This window comes from Homo sapiens, chromosome 13 (genome assembly GCF_000001405.40).
Source record: "Homo sapiens chromosome 13, GRCh38.p14 Primary Assembly".
NCBI classification, from domain to species: domain Eukaryota; kingdom Metazoa; phylum Chordata; class Mammalia; order Primates; family Hominidae; genus Homo; species Homo sapiens.
The window spans coordinates 45,106,046-45,132,980 of record NC_000013.11 but is presented as its reverse complement, the minus strand read 5'-3'; the positions used below and the strand labels follow the sequence as shown (position 1 = coordinate 45,132,980).

General features: G+C 44.2%; 1 protein-coding gene, 1 long non-coding RNA gene and 1 pseudogene across 4 annotated transcripts in view, besides 5 other annotated features; all 3 read right to left on the bottom strand.

Moving 5' to 3' along the window:
* The window catches only part of GTF2F2 (general transcription factor IIF subunit 2), a 164,384-nt gene extending 151,913 nt beyond the window's left edge, over positions 1-12,471 (bottom strand). For all 3 annotated transcript variants that reach the window (XM_011535052.4, NM_004128.3, XM_011535053.4), the window contains exon 1: positions 12,260-12,471. In XM_011535052.4, coding sequence (XP_011533354.1) covers positions 12,260-12,325 — 66 coding nt within the window. In that variant the 5' untranslated portion in view covers positions 12,326-12,471. The remainder of the gene's footprint in view (positions 1-12,259) is intronic.
* Positions 9,050-9,243: a silencer, noted in NCBI's record as "fragment chr13:45697873-45698066 (GRCh37/hg19 assembly coordinates)". NCBI's record gives its function as "represses an EF-1alpha promoter that drives an FKBP-Casp9 reporter gene in an ReSE screen in K562 erythroleukemia cells {active_cell/tissue: K562}" and the evidence as "EXISTENCE:reporter gene assay evidence [ECO:0000049][PMID:32094911]".
* On the bottom strand, positions 9,567-9,888 carry RN7SKP4 (RN7SK pseudogene 4; annotated as a pseudogene).
* Positions 11,556-12,197: an enhancer, noted in NCBI's record as "H3K27ac hESC enhancer chr13:45694919-45695560 (GRCh37/hg19 assembly coordinates)". NCBI's record gives its function as "activates a minimal SCP1, AML or CMV promoter by ChIP-STARR-seq in primed H9 embryonic stem cells {active_cell/tissue: H9 hESC(primed)}" and the evidence as "EXISTENCE:reporter gene assay evidence [ECO:0000049][PMID:30033119]".
* Positions 12,198-12,841: an enhancer, noted in NCBI's record as "H3K27ac hESC enhancer chr13:45694275-45694918 (GRCh37/hg19 assembly coordinates)". NCBI's record gives its function as "activates a minimal SCP1, AML or CMV promoter by ChIP-STARR-seq in primed H9 embryonic stem cells {active_cell/tissue: H9 hESC(primed)}" and the evidence as "EXISTENCE:reporter gene assay evidence [ECO:0000049][PMID:30033119]".
* Positions 12,308-12,437: an enhancer, noted in NCBI's record as "active region_7678". NCBI's record gives its function as "activates an Ori minimal core promoter by ATAC-STARR-seq in GM12878 lymphoblastoid cells {active_cell/tissue: GM12878}" and the evidence as "EXISTENCE:reporter gene assay evidence [ECO:0000049][PMID:35858748]".
* Positions 19,775-26,702, bottom strand: LOC101929259 (uncharacterized). The gene is made up of 3 exons (NR_120424.1): positions 26,552-26,702; positions 25,747-25,844; positions 19,775-21,287 (listed from the first exon to the last, which is right to left on the bottom strand). It is a non-coding gene; the product is annotated as an uncharacterized LOC101929259 (long non-coding RNA).
* Positions 23,872-23,931: a silencer, noted in NCBI's record as "silent region_5310". NCBI's record gives its function as "represses an Ori minimal core promoter by ATAC-STARR-seq in GM12878 lymphoblastoid cells {active_cell/tissue: GM12878}" and the evidence as "EXISTENCE:reporter gene assay evidence [ECO:0000049][PMID:35858748]".
* Positions 26,703-26,935: the final 233 nt, after the last annotated feature.

The following is a 26,935-nucleotide window of genomic DNA, read 5'->3' as shown; positions in this document are numbered from 1 at the left end:
CTAGCTGGTCTCACATTAAATACATGGTTACAAACATCAAGTGAGCCCTTAGTGACACCTGGCAACTTAACTACATCTCCCTAGTCAATTCAGTCCCTCACTCCTGATTATTCAAATGTTCTCTTTTCACTTCTCGAACCTAGAACACCTCTTCCTTCCTCCTCCCTCTGTGCTGACCTGACTTCCTCTTCCACCGAGAAAAAGCAAACCATCAAATCTAAACTTCTACATCTACCACCTAGCCACAATTGGATACTTTTACTTGCTTTACCCTCTTTAAACAATGGATAAACTATGGCCAATCCCTCCACTTGTGCACTGAATTTCTTTCCCTGTTATGTAACCAAGGACATATTTCCTTCAAGTACACCCTTAGTATCTGTGACTCAGGGCAAAAGTAATGGGACTTCGCTTCTGTAATTAGGTTACATAAGATTATAACTTCTGTCTTCTCTCATTGCTTTCTCAGTGTGCACACTCTGATTTAGAAATCTGCCATATTGAAGAGGCCGATGTGGCAAAAACAAAACAAACCAAAAAAAAAAAACACTAATGACAAGCTTTAGCCAAGAGTCAGCTAGGAACTTGGACTCTTAAGTCCAACAACCCTGGAGGAACTGAATTCTACCAACCACGTAAGCTTGGAAACAATATTTCCCCAGTCAAAACTTCAGATGAGAATCCAACCCTGGCTGATACCTTGACTATCGCCAGTGAGAGACTTTGAAGCAAAGGAGCCAACTAAGCCATGCCAGGAGTCCCAGCCCACAGAAACTGTGAAATAATAAATGCATGTTGTTTTAAACTACTAAGCCCATGGTAATAGGTTATATACCAATAGATAATTAATACATTAAGCAACAAGCACTCTTCTAAATGCTGTAAATATATTAATCATCTACTTCTCACACAATCCTATTAGTGTCTTCATTTTACAGATGAGGAAACTAAGGCACAGGGAGGCTTATAAATTTGCTCAAGAGCATGCACCTTGGAAAGGGCAGACTTAATAATCCTTCCCACCCAGTGTCTGATTTCTCTACCTTTTCTCTCTCTCTCTTTTTTTTTTTTTTTTTTTTTTTTGAGACAGGGTCTCATTCTGTCACCCAGGGTGGATTTACAATTTTGGCTCACTGCAACCTCCACTTCCTGGGCTCCAACGATACTCCCACCTCAGCCTCCCAAGTAGCTGAACTACAGGTGTGCACCACCATGCCCAGCTAAGTTTTGTATTTTTTGTGGAGATGAAGTCTCACCACATTGCCTAGCCTGGTCTCAAACTTCTGGACTCAAGGGATCATCCCACCTCAGACTCCCAAGGTGCTGGGATTACAGGCATGAGCCACCGTGCCTGGTCCTCTGCCTCTCTTTATGGCAAAACTCCTTGAGAGAGTTCTCTATGCCAGCTGTCTACACTTACTCCTCTGCCACTTTGTTTTGAACTTACTCTAGACAGGCTCTCCTCCCTGCCACTCCACTGAAACTGATCACAGGGTTATTAGGATCTCCAAATTACCAAGCCAATGTTTAGTCCCCATCTTTCATACTTAACAACAATATCTGAGAGCTAATTATTTCCTTTTCCTTCAAATACTTTATTCACTTGGCATCTGAGTAATCACACTCTCTCGATTTCTCCCTCTACTTCTCTGGACTCTCCTTTTTGGTCTCCACATCTAGATTCTCATCTTTCTGGCCCCTTAACTTCAGTGGGCACTGGATTCAGTCCTTGGATCCCCCCTCTTCTCTCTATACTCTTTTTTTTTTTTTCTGAGACTGAGTTTCACTCTTGTTGCCCAGGCTGGAGTGCAATGGCGCGATCTCGGCTCACCACAACCTCTGCCTTCCGGGTTCAAGCGATTCTCCTGCCTCAGCTAATTTTGTATTTTTAGCAGAGACGGGGTTTCTCCATGTTGGTCAGGCTGGTCTCAAACTCCTGACCTCAGGTGATCCGCCCACCTCAGCCTCCCAAAGTGCTGGGATTACAGGCATAGGCCACCGTGCCCAGCCCTGTATACTCTCAATCTTAAGTAACTTCATCCAGTCTCGTGGCTTTAAAATACCATCTGTATGACAACTCTCAAACTTACAACAAGCTCAGGTTCTCCCCTGAAGTCTCAATTTATATATCCAACTGCCTACTCAAACTCTCCATCTTAATATTCAGTAAGCATTTCAAACTTAAAATCTCCATACTAGAACTAATTTCTCCCTCATAAACCTTGCTCCTGCTGCAATTTTCCGTATCTTAATAAAAGGCAACTCCATTCTTCCAAACACTCAGGCTGAAACCTTGGAGTCATCCTGAATATTTTTTTCTTATACCCCAAATCCAATCAACTGATACATCCTGTCAATATCTTCAGATTATATCCAACTCCAGCCTTTTCTCACCAACTCGAGTTACTACCCTAGCCCAAGCCACCATCATCTCTTGAATAATTATTGTTTTAACAGCCTCCTGATTTCCTTGCTTCCACTTTTGCCCATGTACAGTTTATTCTCAATAAAGCAGCCAGAATGGTCATCTTAAAACCTAAGTCAGATGATACTGTTCTGCTCAAAACATTTCCATTTATTTAACAGACATCTACATAGTGCTTACTATGTTTACCAGACACTTTTCTAAACACTTTACAAATATTACTCCATTTAATCCTTATAACAGCCCTATCATCATTCTATTTTGCAACTGCAGAAACTGAAGCACCAAAAAGCTATTATTTGCCCAAAGTCTCACAATCACTAGCGGTGAAACTAGGATTCTAACCTAAGCAGTCGACTCCACAGTCCACGATTTTAGTCACCATGCCATGCTGCCTCTCCATGGCTACTAGCTTCCCATCTCACTCAGAAGAAAACTCCTATAATGTCTTAGGTGACCCAGTTCCCTGGATGATCCTATCCCATATCTTCAACTCCTACTCTCCCTCTCACCTTACTCAAACCACACAGACCTGTGAACATTTGCGGTGACGTCCCATCTAAAGACGCATTTGCTGTTATTTCTGTCCGGAACACTCTTCCCATGGGTATCTGCAAGGGCAAGCCCATAAATTCTTTACGTCCCTGCTTAAAGACCATCTTATCAGTGAGGTCCCTTCCTGCCCTATTTAAAATAGCATCACCAGTTACTTTATAGATCCTTGACCTTGTTTTATTTTTCTTCAGAGCACTTATCATCTGCTTTAAATGTATTTGTTTATCGTCTATTCTCCCTCCTCATTAGAACGTAATCTAATTAGAACGTATCTGAATAGGCAGATATTGTAATTTTGTTTACTGTCATATCTCTAGCATCCAGAATAGAAGAATAGTTATCATTTTAATGAGTGGATATTGAAGAAACACTAATGTAACAGCAATGATGGTCAATACTGGAATATACCTAGGATATATAATTTACTACACTTCATTTCATTCTCAGAGGGAAGTCTCAGTTCAGAGATCCACCTTAAAATAAGGGGGAAGGGTTGGGCATGGTGGCTCACGCCTGTAATCCCAGCACTTTGGGAGGCTGAGGTGGGTGGATCATTTGAGCACAGGAGTTCGAGACCAGCCTGGGCAACATTGCAAAACCCCAACTCTACAAAAAATACAAAAATTAGCCAGGCATGGTGGTGTGTGCCTGTAGTCCCAGCTACTCGAGAGGCTGAGGTGGGAGGATCACTTAAGCCCAGGGAGGTCGAGGCTGCAGCGAACCATGATCGTGCCACTGCACTCCAGCCTGGGTGACAGTGTAAGACTCTGTCATAAATAAATAGGAAGAGGACAAAATGCAAATAGTAGAGTAGGACATTTTCTAACCTACTACTTTGCCCTAACTGCTATACCCTGAAATGCTCTTAAAGAGAACACAAGAATGTTTGGAAGCTTTGGAACTCTTAAATGAGATCATACTTCTTCAACATATTAACCAGATCAGGATTTTCTGTGATCAAACTACTGGAGACTACGATTTAGGCCTTCAAACAAGAAAGCACTTCAAGGGAAAGTAACTATATATCATACATTAAGGCAAATTTAAGAATCAAATTCAGTACAACAAATTATACCTAATACAAGCAACTGCCAACTTAAAAACATTGTGTCGGGCATGGTGGCTCACACCTATAATCTCAGCACTTTGGAAGGCTGAAGAGGGAGGATCACTTGAGCCAGGAGTTCGAGACCACCCTGGGCAACATACGGGGACCCCATCTCTACAAAAAATTTAAAAATTATCTAGGCATATTAGTGCACACTTGTGATCCAAGGTACTTGGGAGGTTGAGGCAGAAGGATCGTTTGAGCCCAGGAGTTGGAGGCTACAGTGAGTCATGATCACATGCCACTGCACTCCAGCCTGGGTGACAGAGCGAGACTCTTTCTCAAAAAATAAAATAAAATAAAATAAATTTTATTTTTTTGAGACGGAGTCTCACTGTGTCACCCAGGCTGGAGTGCAATGGCATGATCTTGGCTCACTGCAACCTCCGCCCCCCAGGTGCAAGTGATTCTCTTGCCTCAGCCTCCCGAGTAGTTGGGATTATAGACGCCCGCCACCATGCCCAGCTAATTTTTGTATTTTTAGTAGAGATGGGGTTTCACCATATTGGTCAGGCTGGTCTCGAACTCCTGACCTCGTGATCTGCCCGCCTCGGCCTCCCAAAGTGCTGCAATTACAGGCGTGAGCCACTGTGCCCGGCCGCAAAAATAATTTTTTAAAAAGGCCAGGGGGGAGGCCGGGCACAGTGGCTCACACCTGTAATCCCAGCACTTTGGAAGGCTGAGGCAGGCGGATCACGAGGTCAGGAGATCAAGACCATCCTAGCTAACATGGTGAAACCCCATCTCTACTAAAAATACAAAAAATTAGCCGGGCATGGTGGCGGGCACCTGTAGTCTCAGCTACTCGGGAGGCTGAGGCAGAAGAATGGCGTGAATCCGGGAGGCAGAGCTTGCAGTGAGTCGAGATCGCGCCACTGCACTCCGGCCTGGGTGACAGAGCAAGACCCGTCTCAAAAAAAAAGAAAAAAAAAAAAAAAAAAAAAAAAAAAAAAAGGCCGGGGTGCCAGGCACAGTGGCTCATGCCTGTAATCCTAGCACTTTGGGAGGCTGAGGCGGGCAGATCACAAGGTCAGGAGTTCGAGTCCACCCTGGCCAACATGGCGAAACCCCGTCTCTACCAAAAATACAAAAATTAGCTGGGCGTGGTGGCAGGCGCCTGTAATCCCAGCTACTCGGGAGACTGAGACAGGAGAATCACTTGAACCCAGGAGGCGGAGGTTGTAGTGAGCCAAGATCGTGCTACTGCACGCCCAGCCTGGGCGACAAGAGCAAGATTCCGTCTCCAAAAAAAAACAAGGCCAGGGGTGGTGGCTCATGCCATAATCCCAACACTCTAGCACTTTGGAAGGCCAACGTGGGTAGACTGCTTGAGTCCAGGAATTTGAGATCAGCCTGGGCAACATGGTGAAACCCTGTCTCTACAAAAAAAAAAAAAAAAATTAGTTGGGCGTGGTGACACATGCCTATAGTCCCAGCTACTCAGGAGGCTGAGGCAGGAGGATCACTGCAGCCCAGGAGGCAGAGGTTGCAGTGAGCCGAATTCACAGCACTTCACTCCAGCCTGGGAGACAGAGTGAGACCCTGTCTCAAAAAGAAAGACCAAAAAAAAAAGCAGATTGTGCTCCATAAGTTAATGGACAAAAACAAGTTTGCAGCTCATATTGCACTGTCTTCATTATTATAATAAAACTGTAGATTCCCAGGTAAGCCCACCAGCTTATTTAATTCAAAGGTTCCTAAAATACTACACCCTTGCAATAAAAAATAATAATAATAGCACATTAATTATATATAACTCTCTACACCACGAACTTACAGAAATTGGCTTCCCAGAAGTCCCGGCCTATTAAGTCTCAAAAGAGGGAGGGAGAGGAAGAAAAAAATGACAGTATATATGGTTTCAAGGCTCCAAAACACCACTGTCAACATATCACTTACGATGTATCTGTGTTATTTCCACTATCTCACTCATTACTGAAAATCAGATGGAGACAAGGTAATAAGTACAACAGGGTATGGTTGCTTAGATTTCCCAATACCAGAGAAAGTGACAGAAAATAACTCACTACAGCATTATTTCCTCAAGGAAACCTCCCTTGACTTCCTAGACCAGGACAAGTCCCTTGCTATTCACATGCACAGAAACAATATTCCTTGCTTCAGTGTCCTTCTCTGAAAATAATTGTTTTCGTTAAGACCAATATTTGACTGATGTCTGTCTCCTATACTGGGCTATAAGTCGTAGTTTACACAGTATATATACCATGTCCGTTTTGTTCACTGTAACATACTTAGAGCCTAGCAATCACTGAAAGCTTGTGGGATGAATCAATCTGCCCACCCATTCACTCAAACTGGGCAGCATAAGAAAGTGGTTCTTGTCGCTGGGCACAGTGGCTTACGCCTGTAATCCCAGCAGTTTGGGAGGCCAAGGCAGGGGGATCACGAGGTCAGGAGTTTGAGACCATCCTGGCTAACATGGTGAAACCCCGTCTCTACTAAAAATACAAAAATTAGCCAGGAGTCGTGGTGCACGCCTGTAATCCCAGCTACTCAGGAGGCTGAGGCAGGAGAATCGCTTGAAGCCGGGAGGCGGAGCTTGCAGTGAGCCAAGATCACACCATTGCACTCCAGACTGGGCAACAGAACGAAACTCCATCTCAAAAAAAAAAAAAAAAAAAAAAAAGTCGTTCTTCCCTTTGAAGCCAAGGTGCTTCTTTGCCAACTTTGCTTCATCAAATATCTAGTTCCCCAACTGCTAGCCTCTAAAGCCCTGTTTCTCCCAGAAAATTAAAAGCACTGAAGTGGACATCATGATGTGACACCCAGATTCCCCCTTCAGCACTGAGGGCATTATTCCCACAGCTGCTGAGAGTGTGGCCAGCAGACAGCCCTCAGCTATTAGGCCTCTTTGAAATTGCCTCCACTAAAGAAAGACCCCTTGCTCAAGGTCACGCCCACTTACTGGGGCAAACCATATCCACTGACTGGCTGGGACAGGAGGACAGCTCTGGAGGGCTCCTGTGGAATCATCCTGGCTTTTCACTGAGACTGCCTTACATGCTCTACCCAATCTTGCTTAAATCCTTTTCCTTCCATACATGCTGATCCCAAGAGTACTCACTAATAAATCCCTGTCTCCATCTCAAAATCAGCTGCTCAGGGAACCCAATCTATGACATGCAGCATTTATTCCCATGTTTCCTTGAACTTCAAGATACAGAACTGACAAGACCAAAGACATAAAAATGAAGTCCCCACCTCACCTCTGAATCTCTAGGGAGATAACCCATTAAAGAGACACAAAGGGGGCTGGGCACAGTGGCTCACACCGGTAATCCCAGTACTTTGGAAGGCCGAGACGGGCAGATCACGAACGAGGTCAAGAGATTGAGACCATCCTGGCCAACACAGTGAAACCCCGTCTCTACTAAAAATACAAAAATTAGCTGGGTGTGGTGGCCCGCGCCTGTAGCCCCAGCTACTCGGGAGGCTGAGGCAGGAGAATCGCTTGAACCTGGAAGGTGGAGGTTGCAGTGAGCCAAGATTGCGCCACTGCACTCCAGCCTGGCAAAAGAGCGACACTCCGTCTCAAAAAAACAAAAACAAAAACAAAAACAAAAAAAAACAGAGAGACGCAAAGGGGAAAAAAAATTTCTATGGCAAAGCTTTTAGCCTAACAAATTTGAATCACTATTTCCATGCTTAGGCAAGATAATTAACCTCCCTAACCTTAAATTTTATCATCTGAAAAATACAGGTAATTAATACCTACTTTACCGGTTTGCTTTGCAAAATACTCGCTACACAAGAAATGTTAAGTTCCTTTTTCTCCTACTATCTGCAAGGCTTTAGGGTATCACCCATTCCAGTTTCATCTCTCCCTTGTATATAACTTTCTCTTTGGCCACCAATGTCCAAGCGCTTGCCTGTCTGTGAAAAAATGAAAGCTAGCCGGGAAGGGTGGCTCACATCTATAATCCCAGCACTTTGGGAGGCCAAGGTGGGTGGATCACTTGAAATCAGGAGTTCAAGACCACCTTGGCCAACATGGTGAAACCCTGTCTTGGCTGGGCACAGTGGCTCATGCCTGTAATCCCAGCACTTTGGGAGGCCAAGGCAGGCAGATCACGAGGTCAGCTGTTCAAGACCATCCTGGCCAACATGGTGAAACCCCATCTCTACTAAAGATACAAAAAATTAGGTGGGTGTGGTGGCACACACCTGTAATCCCAGCTATTCGGGAGGCTGAGGCAGGAGAATAGCTTGAACCCAGGAGGCAAAGGTTACAGTGCGCTGAGATTGTGCCATTGCACACCAGCCTGGGTGACCGGGTGAGACTCCATCTCAAAAACAAAAACAAACAAACAAACAAAATAAACCCCATCTCTACTAAAAATACAAAAATTAGCTGGGCATGGTGGTCAGGCTGGTCTCCAACTCCCAACCTCAGGTGATCCACCCGCCTCGGCCTCCCAAAGTGCTGCGATTACAGGCATGAGCCACCATGCCTGGCCGCAAAAATAATTTTTTAAAAAGGCCAGTGGGGAGGCCAGGTGCAGTGGCTCACGCCTGTAATCCCAGCACTTTGGGAGGCAGAGGCGGGTGGATCACAAGGTCAGGAGATCGAGACCATCCTGGCTAACACGGTGAAACCCCGTCTCTACTAAAAATACAAAAAATTAGCCGGGCGTGGTAGCAGGCACCTATAGTCCCAGCTACTCGGGAGGCTGAGGCAGGAGAATCGCTTGAACCCACGAGGTGGAGCTTGCAGTGAGCCGAGATCGCGCCACCTTAGATGCTGGGGCTGGCATTGCCCTCAACGACCACTTTGTCAAGTTCATTTCCTGGTAAGACAATGAATTTGGCTACAGCAACAGGGTGGGGGACCTCATGGCCCACATGGCCTCTAAGGAGTAAGACCCCTGGACCACCAGCCCCAGTGACAGAACAAGAGGAAGAGAGAGACCCTCAATGCTGGGGAGTCCCTGCCATACTCAGTCCCCAACCACACTAAGACTCTCCCCTCCTCACAGCTTCCATGCAGACCCCCTGAAGAGGGAGGGGCCTAGGGAGCCCTGCCTTGTCATGTGCCATCAATAAAGTCCCCTGTGCTCAGCCAAAAAAAAAAAAAAAAAAATTCAAAATTCCAGAAATAGCACTTCATTAGGCCAGAACAGTACAGGTCCTGGATATTTTGTTATTTTGGTAAACAATCTACTACTATATTTGTTTTTCCCTAAACACACTATTTATCCCCAGTCCTGCCCGTAGGTTTTGGTTGTTTTTTTTTTTTTCTTTTTAGATAGGGTTTCACTCTGTAGCCCAGCCTGGAGTACAAGGGGTGTGATCTCAGCTCACTGCAGCCTCAACCTCCTAGGCTCAAGTGATCCTCCCACCTCAGCCTCTCAAGTAGCTGGGACTACAAGCGTACACCACCACGCCCAGCTAACTTTTTATAGTTTTTGTAGATAAAGGGTTTTGCTATATTGCCCAGGCTGGTCTCAAATTCCTGGGCTCAAGCAATTCGCCCACCTCGTCCTCCCAAAGTGCTGGGATTACAGACATCAGCCACTGCACCCGGCCTGCCATAAGCTCTTCTTGAAAGCTTCTTTGGAGGTTCTAGCAGGGGAGTACAACCATACATATACCCTTGACTGAAGACCAGTCCTCCTCTATCCGGATGGTCATCCTCTTTGGTCAAGCGTGCAGCTTCGGGAGGGACATACATGGAGCAGTGTGGGAGGAAGGAGACACCCGCCTAGCCAGCCAGATTAGCCAAATCAACCCTAGTAATCAATGGGGTGACAGATGTCCCAGACAGATCACACTCACATCCATTTTTTTTTTTTGAGACAGGATGTCACTCTGTCGCCCAGGCAGGAGTGCATGCAGTGGCACAATCTTGACTCACTGCAACCTCCAAATAGGCTTTTCTTAAACGTCACCTTCTTTATGATGTCTTCCCAGTTCTGGTGAAGCACTAATTTTTTTCCCGCTCAAAACTCTCAGAGATCTTGTATGTATAGTTCTTACTGTATTTACACAGTTCTATACCTGTCTAGTGATGGAATTAAATATGTACAAGATGATCTATAAACCGTGAGATATCCTAGGAAGAAACATTATTTAGCAACAAAGATCAGAACTCAAGGTATTATTTTTAATAGGAAAATTAATGTAAGGAGAAAAAACTTGAAATCAATATGTACTTCAATTCAAATTCTGATTAGATGAGAATGAAGATACACTTTCTAAGCAACAAATTACACTTTTTTTTAATTTATTTATTTTTTTGAGAAGGAATTTTTGCTCTGTTGCCCAGGCTGGAGTGCAACGGAGCAATCTCGGCTCACTGCAACCTCCGTCTCCCGGTTTCAAGTGATTCTTCTGCCTCAGCCTCCCAAGTAGCTGGGACTACAGGCGCACACCACCATGACTGGCTGATTTTTGTATTTTTAGTAGAGATGGGGTTTCACCATATTGGCCAGGCTGGTCTCGAACTCTTGACCTCATGATCCACCCACCTCGGCCTCCCAAAGTGCTGAGATTACAGGCGTGAGCCACCATGCCCAGCCCGATCCTGTGATAATTTTCTAATTGTGACTCTGGTTACCCTCCCCTCTAATTCGTACTGCACACTGCCAAACATTTTTTTTTTTCCTGAATAAATATCTGGCATCTCTACCTCACTCAAATCCTCCAAAAAGTTCGTTACTTCCTTGTAAACTAAAGTTAGAATATCTCCGTTTCATGATATGACAATCTGAGTATATGGTCCCCATCTTCATCTACACAGATCTTCTGCTCTAGGTTCTCTCTGTTTTCCACAACACGCCATGCTGATTATATATTTTGAGTCTTGCATTTCTGTTCCATTCCCCATGGTATACACTGTGTCCACCCATCCAAATCCTGTAAGACAAACATTGAGCATTTACCATGCTCCTAGGACAATGGCACCATCTCAAGTCACACCATTTTTTCAAGCTTTTTCCTTCAGTCCGTAAGGGCAATCTCCTCCTTAGTGACTCTCCCCCCAAGTAACATGCTGCTGGAGAGAGAAATGCCTATTTAATCCATCCTTTTAAGTCACACTGAGTTTGGAAATAAGTCAAATGAGTGCCACAGACTAAGGCGAGGGCTGAAGAATGAGAGGTCATGCATTTATTCATCATCTATTTGTTGAGTAATTACCATGCGCCAAACACTATTCTGGGTATGACAGGCAAAGATCCTGTTCTCATGGAATGTGATTCTGTGTGTTGGAAAGACAGAGGTAACCAACTTTGAACATATGAACACAAAATCACTCTACACTGTGAAAAGTGCTTTGAAGAATGTAATACACATCTGTCGTGTTAGCAAATGATCACAAGGGGGCTGTTTTAGGAAGGCCGACAAGAAAGACCTCTTAGATTTAATTGACGAGAACTCAGCCATGTGATAAAACAGTTAAAGCATTAAGAAACCAAAAGTCCTTACATTTTAAGTTTCAACGACTTTCAGGATCACATTTTGAATATGCTTAAGTATTATGAAACTCCCCTAGGAGAAAACACTCCCCAATATGAAACAATAAAGCACAAATAGTGCTTACTGTGAGCTAACCAAAATTGCTGTCTTCACATAAAACGTTTATTGACGGCCAGTTTCACGAGACCCAAATGTGCTCTAAAAGAATACTCCAGTCCAATGACCTCTCCTTCTGTGAGTTTGGGGCTCTCTCGCCTCTTTTGAGAGCTTCATTAAGGACCATCAACCTAAGAGAACACTTTTAAGAGTAGGCAGGGACCAGTCCTACTTTCTGGCCGAGAAAACTGTACAGAAAGTAGACATTCAACTACCTCACGCAGGCTCATGGCTAAAACCAGTTTCACCAAGGGAAGATACAAGGAATTCTTCAGTCTGGGATAAAATGCACCGTCCAAATCTGGGGACACCAAGACAAGATTCCAGGAAAGCCGTGAGAAAGAGATCTAGTCCAGGCAGATTCAGAGTAGTAACTGGCTGAAAGACACTTTGCGTCCCTAAACTAATTCCTCGTCTGCAAACAGATACAACAATGACTCCTGCCTCTCAAAATGTGTGAAGCTCTAACGAGATAGCCGTAAAAGAACTTTAAGAGGCGCACGGAGCGGGATAGGCTCAAGTTACTTAAACTATACTTGTGTTAGGAGGAGCGCAAGTGGGAGACTCGCGAACATTACCTTGACTAGCCACACTCCTGTGTTCTGTTTGGCGCCGGTCAAGTCGAGTTCCCCGCGCTCGGCCATGGGTCTGCAGCCGGTGGAGGCGTGCGGGATGCAGCAGCGACCCCAGGAGCCGCAGGGCTGAGGAGCGGGCGTCCGGAACAAAGGACAAGCCGCGCTGAGAGGCGAAGAGCCGGCGTTCCTTACCTGCCAGAACACTGGGAACCGAGGAAAAGAGGAACACGCCGCCAGGAGCCGGGACTGCGCCTGCGCACTGCTACGTCAGTACGGCGCGCTGTTGCAGACAAACTTTCTGTTTCGGAAATTTCTTGAGTGGGCGTGGCTGTCCGCGATGTCTGCATCTGAGGGATTAAAACGTAGGGTGGGATGAGCTAAAACGTTAGCAATGTATTTAAAGACATGGTCAGCATAACTGAAGAAAAAGATTATCAGAACGGAAAAATGGGGTTCAAAGAGACGAAAGGTGTCAGAACATGTCCAACCCTAGCCAAGGAGAGAGAGACAATATTTGAAGGACAGGGTCAGGGTAGTAAATTGGCGTCCCTGGCCAACGTCATTAGCACAAATGGGCACTGGGATCAAACTTAGTAGCCTTGGGTATATTGAAAACATGCCGTTTCTAGACCTGGAAAAAAAAAAGCCGTGTTTCAGCTCAGAGGCTACCCGAGCTGTTCTGATGAAGCAAGCGGAGCACCTCAGTTTCCAAAACCCGGAAGTCTGTAACGAAACGAACAAGTAAGAGACAAACCTGATCGTTTCCTCCCCTGCTTAAACAGTTTTCTCTTTCTCTTATTGCCTCTAGAATAAAGTTCAATCCTCCTGCTTCAACTGGGCCCTCTCAATTTCATCTCTTTGCACCTCCCACCATCACTCCGCCATGCACCAAACCACATCAAACCCAGCAGACTTCCCTAAACACGTCAGAATCTTCGTCGGTCATTTCAGAGCCTCTGCACACTGGATTCCCTTCCCTTGGAAGCCCTATTTTACCCCTGCCCTCACTCTCACCCCTGTGCTCTGGTTGGCAAACTCCTACTTATGGTTCAAGACCAATGAAAATGTCACTTCCTATGAGATCTTTTATCAACTTCCCCAGAAGAAATTAGTTTTTCTTCACATCACAGTGTGATACTTAGCACTCTGAACTATAATATATATGTTTACATATCTGCCTTTGCTTTCCAGACAATGAACTCCTCCTAGGCGGAAAGAGCTTTATTGAGGTATAATTGACAAATAAAAAATAGTGCTTTATTCATTTTATATCCACAATGTCTAGCACAGTGTTTAACACATTGTCAGGTTTCAGTAGGCTTTGGGTGAAAGAACATTCGCTGAAGAGAAACAAACAGTAAGGTATTGTTAAGAATGGCAAGTAATTTATTGAATCACACATCAGAGCCTTGCACAAAATTGAGGAAATTTTATGTGTGTTCAGCATAGGGCCAGGAAAAGCTGTCAGAACTCTGCTTTTAGCTAGGAAAACTAATAGGAAAGATGGGAGAGACCAGGAGTGTGTTGAAGATGAAAGTTTCAGGCTAGGCTCAGTGGCTCAACCCTGTAACCCTAACTTTGGGAGACTGAGGTGGGAGGATTGTGTCTGCCCAGGAGTTCAAGGCTACAGTAAGTCATGATCGTGCCATGCACTCCAGCCTGGGTGACAGAGCAAGGTCCTGTCTCTAAAAAATAAATACTAAAAACAAAATTTTTTTGGCCAGGCGCAGTGGCTCACACCTGTAATCCCAACACTTTGGGAGACCGAGATGGGAAGATCACTTGAGGCTAGGAGTTCGAGACCAGCCTGGTCAACATAGGAAGAACCCTATCTCTAAAAAAAAAAGAAAAACAAAAAAAAATTTTTTTAAGCAGAAAATGAAGGTTTCTTCTTGTGCAACAACTTGGAAAAGGGCCTTTTTAAAACATATAAAGAGTAAGCAGATTAAGGGAACTGCTCTAAACTTTAATCAAGGAGAAGGAATAAATTGAAATATGAGACCATGGGAGAAGAGAAGCAAAGTCTAGAGCACCCCAGGAATGGACTTTAAAGATTGGAACCCTGGCTTTGGTCTCTGGGTCATGGGAGGCCTTAAAATGTGTACGTGGTGTGGGTATGTGTGTATGTGTGTGTACACAGAGATTGAGAGAGAAAAAAAATGGCTGATGAAAGGGCTAGCGAAGAACGGAAAAGTGGAGATTTTAAAATGATACATAGAAGAAAGAAAAAAACAACGTATTGAGCACCTCTTCCTCGTACGCTGTTGAACAAAGAGCAAGCTTCTCCTGTCTGTCCTTTTCAAACCCCTTCTAGCTTGAAGAGGGATGTTTACAGAACCCTGATAGAAAAGGAGGGCATGGCCCCTATGAACCAAATTCACAGATTTACTGTGGAGACCCTTAAGGTGGATAGATACTACAGGCAGATCCCTCACCTTCCTAAGGACTCATTATATGCCAGATCCTCAGCTAGTTATTTTCTGTATTATCCCATTTAATCCTTATAACAATTTGCCAGAGTAGGTATTATTTTTCCTCAATATAGCCCTATATGTCATTAAACATATCAACATCCAAGAGCTGAGACCATATCCCAGGATGGGGCTCACAGAGCATAGGATGCAGAAGTCAGTGCCCCAGAGAAGGTAACACCAAAATTTTTTACTCCCTCAGATGATTAACTAGTCAAGTTGTTACCAAAATTTTTAAGGCGCAAATGCAATTCTAGGAAGGAGGGCCCAAGAACTCATTGCTGGCTGCAATTTTTCCAAAAAGTCTGGTAGTGCTTAGGCCAACTTGAACCTCCATCTTTATCTAGGGCTTAGATTCTAGGTCAGACCTCAAGGCCACCCAACCTTCTTTGCTGCTTTGTTTTTGTTTTTGTTTTTGTTTTTAGGCGGAGTCTTGCTCTATCACCCAGGCTGGAATGTGCAATGACATGATCACAGCTCACTACAGCTTGACCTTTCGGGCTCAAGCTATCCTCCCACCTCAGCCTTCCAAGTAGCTGGAACTACAGGTGCACACTACCACACCCAGCTAATTTTTGTATTTTTTGTAGAGACGGGGTTTCACCATGTTGCCCAGGCTGCTCTTGAACTCCTGGGCTCAAGCAATCCACCCACCTCAGCCTCCCAAAATGCTGGGATTACAGGCATGAGCTACCATGCCCAGCCCCAACCTGCTTAATAGGCAGAACTACGTTCTTTTTTGTGTGTCTTCCAGACTAGCTGCAGCAAGAAAAACCCCTAACACCACACCCACCACAAAACATGCTTCAGTCTAGATGAGTGTTCTCAGCCTCTGGTTCCTGTACAAGTTGCATTAGAATTACCTGGGGGAAATGTGTTTTAAAATGAAGACACCTGAGCCCCAATCCAGGCAAACAAAATTAGACTTTCTGGATGTGAGTCTAGAAATTGACACTTTTAGCAAGCTCCCAGAGTGTTTCTTAGGCACACCAAAATCTGAGAATCATTGTTCTAAATGATAGAGTTCTAATCGATAGAATTCTAATCGATATTTTTCTAATCAATATAGTTCATTAGAACTGGGCCAGTTTCCAAAGTCTGAGACACGTGAAAAAATTTACCAGAAAGCCTTACAGCTAGAATTCCCTCATGCCTTGTTAATTCAGAACACCACAATTCTATCAGGTAGCTATTAGAGAATAAGCAGCAAAGCCATTAGGCGAGATGTTACAAGTGAGTTGAGGGAATTAGAATGACTTTAACAGATAGCTGAGTTCACTTTCAGATTTTGTCCTTGTCTATCATACACAGGCCTGATCTCTTCAGGCCAGAGATTTTCTTTGTTCACACTTACTCAGAAACATTCTAGCAAGAAAAAGTATTACCTCCAGGAGAGTTCATATAGGCAAAAAATGCTACCACCAGGTCTTTCTTAATAGACCAGACTCATTACCTATTGGTTACTAACATAAACATTGTCATTCAAAAATTACAAATGAATACAGCATTGTGGTAATTCATTCAATTTCCCTGACATCAGTGATGTAGTAGGTAGATAATTTTGCTTCGTTATGACACCAAGGCTATAAAACGTCTCTGAATTCTCCCTGCCTTTCCCTTCAACCCTAACAGTTCCCTCCTTCATAGAATGCCCAAATTCCTGGGAGATCCCTTGTTTCCCCAGTTACACACAAACAAAAAGAAATACTTCCTAAAATAGTTTCCATATTGTTTAGTATAGAGAGAGAGCATGAGCTTTGGAGTCAAGCTTTTTACTATTTTTTTTTTTTTTTTTTTGAGACAGAGTCTTGCTCTATCACCCTGGCTGGAGTGTAGTGGCACTATCTTGGCTTATTGCAACCTCCACCTCCCAGGTTCCAGCAATTCTCATGCCTCAGCCTCTGAAATAGCTGGAACTACAGGCATGCACCACCATGCCCGGCTAACTTGTATTTTTAGTAGGGATGGAATTTTACCATGTTGGCCAGGCTGGTCTCAAACTCCTGACCTCAGGTGATCTGCCCACCTCTGCCTCCCAAAGTGCTGGGATTACAGGCGTGAGCCACTGTGCCTGGCCAGTCAAACATATTTCCAAGTGATACCTCTGCTGCGTACCAGCCTAATTATGTTAATCTCTCTGCACCTGTTTCCTTGCTTATATAATGGAATTACTATACTCACTTTGTAGAGTTATTATGTGACTAAACGAGAAAACATATTAAAAGAATTTAGCATTATGATGTGGAAATTATTTTGTAACTGCATTAATTATATTGCAGTTATATATATTGCAATTATATAAATAATTGAAAGGAAACACAAAAGTTTTATTATAGGCAGCAGTATACTGGCAAGTGTTTAACAGCTGGGCTCCCTAAACTCCCCTACCCCCAGGAAAGCCCTGATTTGTAGTGTTTGCCAATTTCCATGGTGCAAGTATTTCTGCAATAGCTGATTTCAAGCTGCCAAGAAGAGATCACTGAAGGCAAATTTGGAAGAGAGGCACTGTACATTGTATAGTATATAAACTCTATAGGCCAGGCGCAGTGGCTCACGCCTGTAATCCCAGCACTTTGGGAGACCCAGGCGGGTGGATCACTTGAGTCCAGGAGTTTGAGACCAGCCTTGCCAAAATGGAGAAACCCCGTCTCTACTAAAAATACAAAAATTAACTGGGAGTGATAGTACACCCCTGTAATACCAGCTACTCAGGAGGCTGAGGCACAAGAATCACTTGAACCCAGAAGGTGGAGGCTGCAGTGAGCCAAGATCATGCCACTGCACCCCAGCCTGGGTGACAGAGCGAGACTAAGTTTCAATAAATAAATAAATAAGCTGTATAGTATTGTAATACATTGTATAGTATTTTTCACTAGGTAGATATATTAAATATAATTTAAGAGCACGGATAATAATAAAATACAGAAAATAATTAGGAAGTGATGAGTATTAAGTGTTTATTACCTTTATGTTTAATATTATTTATTTCTTCAGCAGTATTTTAGGAAAAGGAAGTAGCATCTGCAAACCCTGAGGAGGGAAGCCCCTGGTATGTTGGTGTCTGTGGGAGAGAGAGGATGCCAGTGGGCAGGATATAGTGAAACTGTGGCAGTGCCATTGGCTGAAGAGGGAGAGAGTAGCTAGACCATGCAAGGCCTTGGAGACCTTGTACACAGCAAATGTAAACTGGAAGGAGAATTTTTTTTTTTTTTTTGAGACGGAGTCTCACCGTCGCCCAGGCTGGAGTGCAGTGGCGCGATCTTGGCTTACTGCAACCTCCGCCTCCCAGGTTCAAGCGATTCTCCTGCCTCAGCCTCCTAAGTAGCTGGGATTACCGGTACACGCCACCACACCCGGCTAATTTTTTGTATTTTCAGTAGAGACAGGGTTTTACCATGTTGGTCAGGCTGGTCTCGAACTTTTGACCTTGTGATCCACCCGCCTCAGCCTCCCAAAGTGCTGGGATTACAGGCATGAGCCACCATGCCTGGCCAACTGGAAGGTTAATTTAAGCTTTTTTTTTTTTTTTGAGATGGAGTCTTGCTCTTTCGCCCAGGTCAGAGTGCAGTGGTGCTATCTTGGCTCACTGCAAGCTCTCCCTCCCGGGTTCACGCCATTCTCCTGCCTCAACCTCCCGAGTAGCTGGGACTACAGGGCACCCGCCACCAGGCCCGGCTAATTTTTTGTATTTTTAGTAGAGACGGGGTTTCACCATGTTAGCCAGGATGGTCTCGATTTCCTGACCTCGTGATCCGCCCGCCTCGGCCTCCCAAAGTGCTGGAATTACAGGCGTGAGCCACCGCACCCAGCCAATTTAAGCTTGAATATAAAATAATATTTACATTTCCAAAAGATCCCTGTAGTTGCTGTGGAAAAAATGGATTGGAGGAGACCAGAATGAAAACCAAGAGACTAGTTGAGACACTATTTTACTAATCCAAATGGAAAAGGATAGTGGTTTTGATTAGGGAAGTGGTAGTGAAGATGAAAGGAAGTGGATCAATTTGAAAATATCAGAGATAGTTTTAGGAGGCAGAATTGACAAGGCTTTGTAATTCTTTGCTGTATAGCAAAATAGGAACAGGACCATCTACCAAGTGATAACTCAGAACAAGAGAACAAAACAAAACATACACACACAGCATTGCTCCTTCTGGGAGATCAGACAAGACTCTGCATGTATTTTGCCTGATGGATGACATGATTCCGTTGAATTGCTTCTGTTCAGTGCCTTATGTCTGATGTGACATATGGCTGCTGTGACCTGCAAGAAGCCTTCACTCTCAGTAAGTCACTTTAATTGCTCATTAGGTATTGCTGTGGGAATAAAGTGTTAAATAAAGCATGAGAAAATTCAATTCATCATTACTGTATTGAAATCCAATTTATTTTCATATGTAATTTACCAAAACATGTATATCATATTTTATATATTAAATAAAATTATAGTTAGGAAACAGCACTGAAATACTTGATCAAAGTGCCCAAATAAAAACCACAAATAAGAATAAGCCCTAAAATACCATATTAAACAGACAGATCTTCACTAGTGTTCAGATTTCAAAGCCAGAGAAGCCATGTGTGCTGAATATCAATGAGCAATTGTGTCCACATTCCACTAAGGGCAAAAGCTAGGGGCTTCCTTTTTGATGGATTTCCTCCCCAAATACACAAGCATCAGGGGAGGACAGTTTTCACATCCAGGGGTAGGTGAAAATATTAGATAAATATCAATGGGTGGAGTCAAGGAATGTTCAGTTTAAGGACCTTTTCTATAGCTCAAGCTCTTGCCATAGTTTTGTCAACATAATTCACTTCCCTCGTGTGTAAACGACTAAGCTGACATGGTGGCTGTGCTGCATATAAAGCTGTTTGGGGACCATGGTCCTTCCATCTCATATTTTGCCATCCCTGTGTGGTGTCCTTGTCTGCATGGGGGACCGTAATGTCTGCATTTTTCAGCCAAAAGGAAAAGTGAAAGGATAAAAAGAGTGTATATGACTTTGGCCTTTTTTCTTTTCTTTTTTTTTTTTTTTTTTTTTTTTTTACAGTGTGTTTAGATTGGAAGCCAAATAAGGTCCATACATTGTGGTTGGTTTTGATGTCTCTTAGTCCTCTCCTCTCCTTTCTCCTTGCCTTCCCTCTGTTCCCCTTCTCTCTCCTCCTCTCTCTCTGATTCATACACCACTCTCCATCATTGTTGTTGATGAAAAACTAATTTACTTGTCCTATACAGTTGTTGTTGTGTGTGTTTTTTTTTTTTTTGAGACGGAGTCTCGCTCTGTTGCCAGGCTGCAGTGCAGTGGCATGATCTTGGCTCACTGCAACCTCCACCTCCCAGATTCAAGCGATTCTCCTGCCTCAGCCTCCTGAGTAGCTGGGACTACAGGCACTTGCCACCACGCCCAGCTAATTTTTGTATTTTTAGTAGAGACGGGGTTTCACCATGTTGGCCAGGATGCTCTCGATCTCTTGACCTCATGATCCGCCTGCCTCGGCCTGCCAAAGTGCTGGGCTTACAGGCGTGAGCCACCGCACCCGGCCCTGCTATACAGTTTTCTACATTCTAGAGTTTTCTGATTGCATCTCCAAGGTCTCATGTATGATGTTACTTCTTCCCTTGTTTTTTGTTTTTTGTTTTTTTGAGATGGAGTCTCACTCTGTTGCCAGGCTGGAGGGCACAATCTCAGCTCACTGCAACCTCCACCTCCTGGGTTCAAGCACTTCTCCTTCCTCAGCCTCCTGAGAAGCTGGGACTACAGGCATGCGCCACCATGCCCAGCTAATTTTTGTATTTTTAGGAGAGACGGGGTTTCACCATGTTGCCAGGCTGGTCTCAAACTCCTGACCTCAGGTGATCCGCCTGCCATGGCCTCCCAAAGTGCTGGGATTACAGGTGTGAGCCACCACACCCGGCCTTTTTTTTTTTTTTCTTTTTTTTGAGACAGAGTCTCTCACTCTGTCGCCCAGGCTGGAGTGCAGTAGTGCGAGCTTGACTCACTGCAACCTTTGCCTCCTAGGTTCAAGTGATTCTTGTGCCTCAGCCTCCCAAGTAGCTGGGACTACAGGCGCACACCACCAGGCCCACCTAATTTTTGTATTTTTATTAGAGACTGGGGTTTCGTGATGTTGGCCAGGCTGTTCTTGAGCTCCTGACCTCAAGTAATCCATCCACCCACCTTGGCCTCCCAAAGTGCTGGGATTACAGGTGTGAATCTCCACTCCTGGCCTTCCCTTGAGTATTTTCTCAACATGGTAGATTGATTTCAAGGTATGATCAGACTCAGGTTGGATTTTGGTGGAGGGGAAGACTATTTAAGTGGTCTTGTGCACTTCTAGCATGAGATATATAATGTCTGGTTTTCTTTCTTTCTATAATATTAGCAGCCATTGATGAATGTTGCCTAGATCCAGTAATTCATTAGGCATTGCAAAATTGTTATATTCTAATTCTGTCATTCCTTCTTTGCAGAAACTTCCTCATCATTTTCTCTATTAAATATAGCATTAAAAGTTGATTCTGGCACAGATCTGAGCAAAGATAGTGTGACGTTTTCATACTGTGAATGTGAAATAGTTGGTCAATAAGTACTTGGATTCAAAAATGCATCCTTTCTCATTTTATGTTAAGGAGAAAAAAAGAAAAAAAAATGCACCCTGAGCGGTGTAAGAGTACCCCAGACAAATCAGCGCTCAATTCTCTACAATACTGATTCCCATGCTCACAATCCTCTTTATCAACTTCCACCCCAAAGCCATTGTCTTTTGAGACGGAGTCTCACTCTGTCGCCCAGGCTGGAGTGCAGTGGCGCGGTCTTGGCTCACTGCAACCTCTGCCTCCCGGGTTCCAGCGATTCTCCTGCCTCAGCCTCCTGAGCAGCTGGGATTACAGGTGTGTGCTACCACACCCAGCTAATTCAAAGCCATTGTCTTTTTTGTTTTATTTTTTTCCACAACATCTTTTGATCACTCATCAAGAAAAGCCTTTATAGCCCATTAAAATTGAAGCCCCGAAATTCACAGTTGCTTGATTTCCTAGTTGCTTTTATTCCTAGATATAGTGGATTTCTACAGCATTTGCCTGTGAAGCAACCAGAAAGAAAGGTATGGTCTTTCTTCTGGAATTGTTGAACTAGGAGAATCGAGTGCCAGGAAACTGGTGTGTCTGTATATGTGTTCAACTCTCTGGATGTTAACACCTTGCTGGCTGGCCACCAAGTGAAGATAAACTGGCCTGGGTCACAAGTCTTTTTTCTGTGGCTAGTTGCCCAAGGTGGACACATCTCTGTCATGTCTCAGGACCAGTAAACTCAAGCTATGCTTGGAAGGACAGAATTGATCAAGATGGAATGACTCCTGAGAGGAGACAGTAGTGATATTTCTGCTCCACTGCTATTTATTTTTCTGGCTTCAAGGTTCAGATTCAACCATGGCAGGAGAGAAAGTCCTTAGCAGTTTCTTATTTTATATTTTTTTGTTCCTATGTACCCCTCATTAATAAAATAATCAGCCAGGCATGGTGGCTCACGCCTGTAATCCCAGCACTTTGGGAGGCCGAGGCGGGTGGGTCACCTGAGGTCAGAAGTTCAAGACCAGCCTGACCAACATGGTAAAACCCCGTCTCTACTAAATATACAAAAATTAGCCGGGCGTGGTGGCGGGCGCCTGTAATCCCAGCTACTCAGGAGGCTGAGGCAGGAGAATCGCTTGAACGCGGGAGGCAGAGGTTGCAGTGAGCCGGGATCGTGCCATTGCGCTCCAGCCCGGGCAACAAGAGCGAAACTTCGTTCCAAAAAATAAAATAAAATAAAATAATCAGAATTTGCCCATTTCCTGAATCCAGACAGCATTATGTGAATCACATTTTAAAACTGATTATTGATCTTTTACAGTTCCTTCAGCTTTCAGAGACCTTGAGCAATGAATGCTATTTTGTGAAAGGGATGTTACTTGCTTCCCTGGGGTCAAACATCCTCTTTGTAAATCACAAATCCAATAGCCACAAAGAACCCAGACAAAAAATTGACCATTAGTCTTATGAGAGTTATAATTTAGCCTTTTAAATTTAATTCTAATGCAAAACTTTTTTCAGTGTTTTTTTTTCTTCTAACATCTTTAACATGAAATAATTACTGTGACTCTTTAGACTCAGCTTATTCATTATTTTGGTTAACTCTATGAGGCTTCCTTCCAAGAATCTCTTCCCTCTGTGATGAAAACATCTCTCTCTCACTCTATTTTTTTTTTTTTTTTTTTTTTTTTTTGCATAAAGCAGGTGTCTCTGATGATTTTCCAAAGTGTGCACCTAACATCCCTGATTTTCTGTATTGGTTGTGGTGGTGGGATTGCCAAATGGCAGAGAGACAAATACTAGGATAAAATTCCTCTCTATATCCAGAGAGATTTAACCAATATCTTCTTGTGTGAGGCGGCAGACTAGAGTAAATATGTTGCACCTGCTATAGTACTATTTGAATTTAGATGAATTCTATATTATTTTAATTCCTCCAAGCAAGAAAAATGAGGACAGTAATACTTATGTTGAGAGAATGCTAGAACAAGCTACTATTGGACCTGAGTTACTGCCTATCTTCCTGGGCAACTCCTTCTACTGCCATTGGATATGACCATCAGGTGGTTTCAAAATATGTCCCAGTACATCTGACACTACTTTCTTGAAAATGTGAAGCCTAGTACACTCCCTCATGATGTGGGCCAGACCCCCTGGTGATTCACTTCAAAGAAATAGAATGTGGTGAAAGTGAGGTTACAGGATTTCCACAGCTAGGTCATAAGGATAGCTTGTGCTCGCTCGTGCGCTCTCTCTCTCTCTCTCTCTGTCTAAGGAGATGATCTTTTTCTGGCTATTGCACTCCAGAGTGTCTTAAGGTGGTTTTACCTTAGACTTTTTTTTTTCCGGTCGGGAAACAAGTTACAGATGGGGTGACTTTTATGGTTTGGGTTCTTTTGCAAGCAGGGAAAGTCTCAGTAATCTGAAGAGGAGAGGGTATTCTCTGTGGTTAGCTGGTTTCAGGGGGACAAACTGTTCTAAGCTTAACTAATCAACTGTAAACCAAAAAGTATCTGAGGTGAGTTTCAATCAATTTAGAAGTTTATTTTGCCAAGGTTAAGGACATGCCTGTTGCACAGCCTCAGGAGGTCCTAACAACATGTGCCCAAAGTGATCGGGCTACAGCTTGGTTTTATACATTTTAGAGAGACATAGACATCAATCAATATGAGACAGCCGGGTGGGAGGGGTCCGGGAGGGGTCCCTGGCAAAACTTCAACCGGCCTGCGCACTGGGGTGGAGCTACAGAGGTTCACCCCGTTGGTAGCGGGGAGGAGCCTGGCCCCTCCTCTTCCTGTGTGGAACCTAGGATTCAAACTGCAAGGCGGGAAGCACACTAGAGTAACTCCGACCTTGCGGAGAGTCCCTGTTCCCCCTTTTATTCCTTTTCACCCAATAATACCCTGTTTTACTCATCCTTCAAACCATCTGCAAGCCTAAACTTTGGCGGCTGTGGGACAAGGAACCCCGTCTTTAGCTGAACTAAGGAAAGGTCCCGCAACAAATCCATGTAAGATGTACATTGGTTTGGTCTAGAAAGGTGGAATAACAAGAAGTGGGGGCTTCTGGGTCATAGGCGGACTCAAAGATTTTCTGATTGGCAATTGGTTGAAAGAGTTATTATCTAAAGACCTGGAATCAGTAGAAAGAACTATCTGGGGCCAAGTGTGGTGGCTCATGCCTGTAATCCCAGCATTTTGGGAGGTCGAGGCAAGAGGATTGCTTCAGCCAAAAGTTCTAGGCCAGCCTGGGCAACATAAGCAAGACCCTGTCTCTACAAATAAAAAAATTATTAGTTACTTGGGAAGCTGAAGTGAGAGGATCACTTGAGCCCAGGAAGTTGAAGGTGCCATGAGCCATGATCTTGCTGCTACCCTCTCAAAAAAAAAAAAAAAAGAAAGAAAGAAAAGAAAAATTAAAAAAAGATAAGAGGTTATGAAGACCAAGGTTTTCTCTTTTTTTGAGATGGAGTCTTGCTTTGTCACCCTGGCTGGAATATAGTGGCCCAATCTCAGTCCACTGCAACCTCCGCCTCCCAGGTTCAAGAAATTCTCTTGCCTCAGTCTCCCGAGTAGCTGGGCTGCTTGAGTGTCAGTATGGTGGTCAGAAGAAGCACTCCTCCAGAATGAGTGAGGAGACATGGACAAACACATCGACAAACCTTTCCCCTTTGCTTGAACCCACTGAACACATGCTCCAACATGGCCCTCCAACTTCCAGTTTTTTTGTCTCATGATAATGTAAACCAAAAATAAAATTCTATGCACCTCAACTTACTGATGCCTGCCCCCTGCCTCAGCCAAAGGCATTCCAAAGTAAACCTGAAAATCTAGTTCAGGTCGTGATTGGAAGGGGGTTGTCTGAGATCCCTCATTTTACTTTCCTCCCTTTGAAATTCAGGCACAGCTAGGCAGTTTTAACATTACAGCAGAAATCTTAAGACTGAAGAAACAGACTTTTTGTAGCAATAAGACACCAAATTCCAGCCTGACTTTGGTATAACATCACATGACAGAGAGCAGGCCCTGAAAGAAATAAAAATATTTTACTCCAAAATGTATTTCTTTGACATATTTTGAAATGACCCTGCAAAGCTGCCTCTTGTGGGGAAAATCTACATTTTGTAAAAAAAAAAAAAAAAAAAAAAAAAAGTCCCTTTAGCTTTCCAAGTCTTTTTCCTGATCTAGGAGAGAATTCACTTAAGAGTCGGGCACCTTTTCAGGTCTGATAAGAACTCTGAAACTTGCTACAGGGAGGCTTAATCTGCACCATAAAACCTTGGTCCTTGGTCTAGGACTGGATGGGGTGGCTCATGCCTGTAATCCCAGCACTTTGGGAGGCTGAGGTGGGATCATTTGAGGTCAGGAGTTCAAGACCAGCCTAGCCAAAATGGTGAAACCCCATCTCTAATAAAAATACAAAACTTAGCTGGGTGTGTTGGTGCGTGCCTGTAATCCCATGTACTTAGGTGGCTGAGACGTGAGAATCTCTTGAACCCAGGAGGCAGAGGTTGTAGTGAGCTAAGATCATGCCACTGCATTTCAGCCTAGGCAACCAAAGCAAGATTCTGTTTCAAAAAAAAATTCTCATTTTAACCATACCCTTTGATAGAGGCAGGAAGCAGAGAAATTCTAGGCGGACAGGTGGGTCCCTGGCAAAACCCTACCTTTGAGCCCAAAAGCCTGAAACCTGCATCCAAAGTGAGAACGTCTATCCCCGTTTGCTGGCTCTCTTCCGATCGGTTCTTTCTGAATAATGTCTTTTTACTGATTGAATGTTGCCTTTTCTGAAACTACCTATGGCCCACCCCATGCCCCTATCCTGTGCCTATAAAGACCCCAGACTCAGTCAGTAGAGGGAGAGAAGTGGCTTGACTGGAGGGAGGTGACTTGCCTTCAGAGAGACAGATGGGCTTCAGAGGAGAGATGGCTTAATTTCAGAGAGAAGGCTTGACTACAAGGAAGAGCCGGCTGGAGACAGCCGGATTTCATGGGAAGATTACTTGCCTGTCCTGTCCCCTCTCCGGCTCCCCTCTTTGCTGAGAGGCATTTCCCATTGCCTAACACAATTCTCCACCTTCACCATCCTTCAAGTGTCTGGGCTATCTCATTCATCTTAGATGCCACACAAGAGCTTGGGATCCACTGAATGTGGGTACCCAAAAAAGGCTGTCACAGTGGCCCTTTGCGCTCACTGGCAGAGGGCAGCCACCCCACACGATGAGGCAAGGGGCTCACTGAGCTGATAACACACCACTGTCCACAGACGGCAGAGCTAAAAGAACACTGTAACATGCCCTCTGGAGCTTCAGGGGTTGCAGGCACCCCAACCTGGGCACTGCTGCCAGGCCTGCACGCAGCCTGCTCCTGGAAGCACCCAAAGCAGCCATCCAGATCCCGCACTTGCTCACTCATGTGCTCCCTGCTGCAAGGGGTTGAGCGTGGCAGGCTGAGTAAATGGGGTACCCCCGTCACAAGTCTGACAAAGGGGTTGAGAAAAATCCTGCATCACCTTGGCAACTGGATAAGTCAGTTCACTTAGTTTACAATCTCCACATACTCATTTGTGATGCAATAAGGGCTGATTGTAACATAACCCAGTTTTAAAATCTCAAGTTTAATGAGTAAAACAAAATGC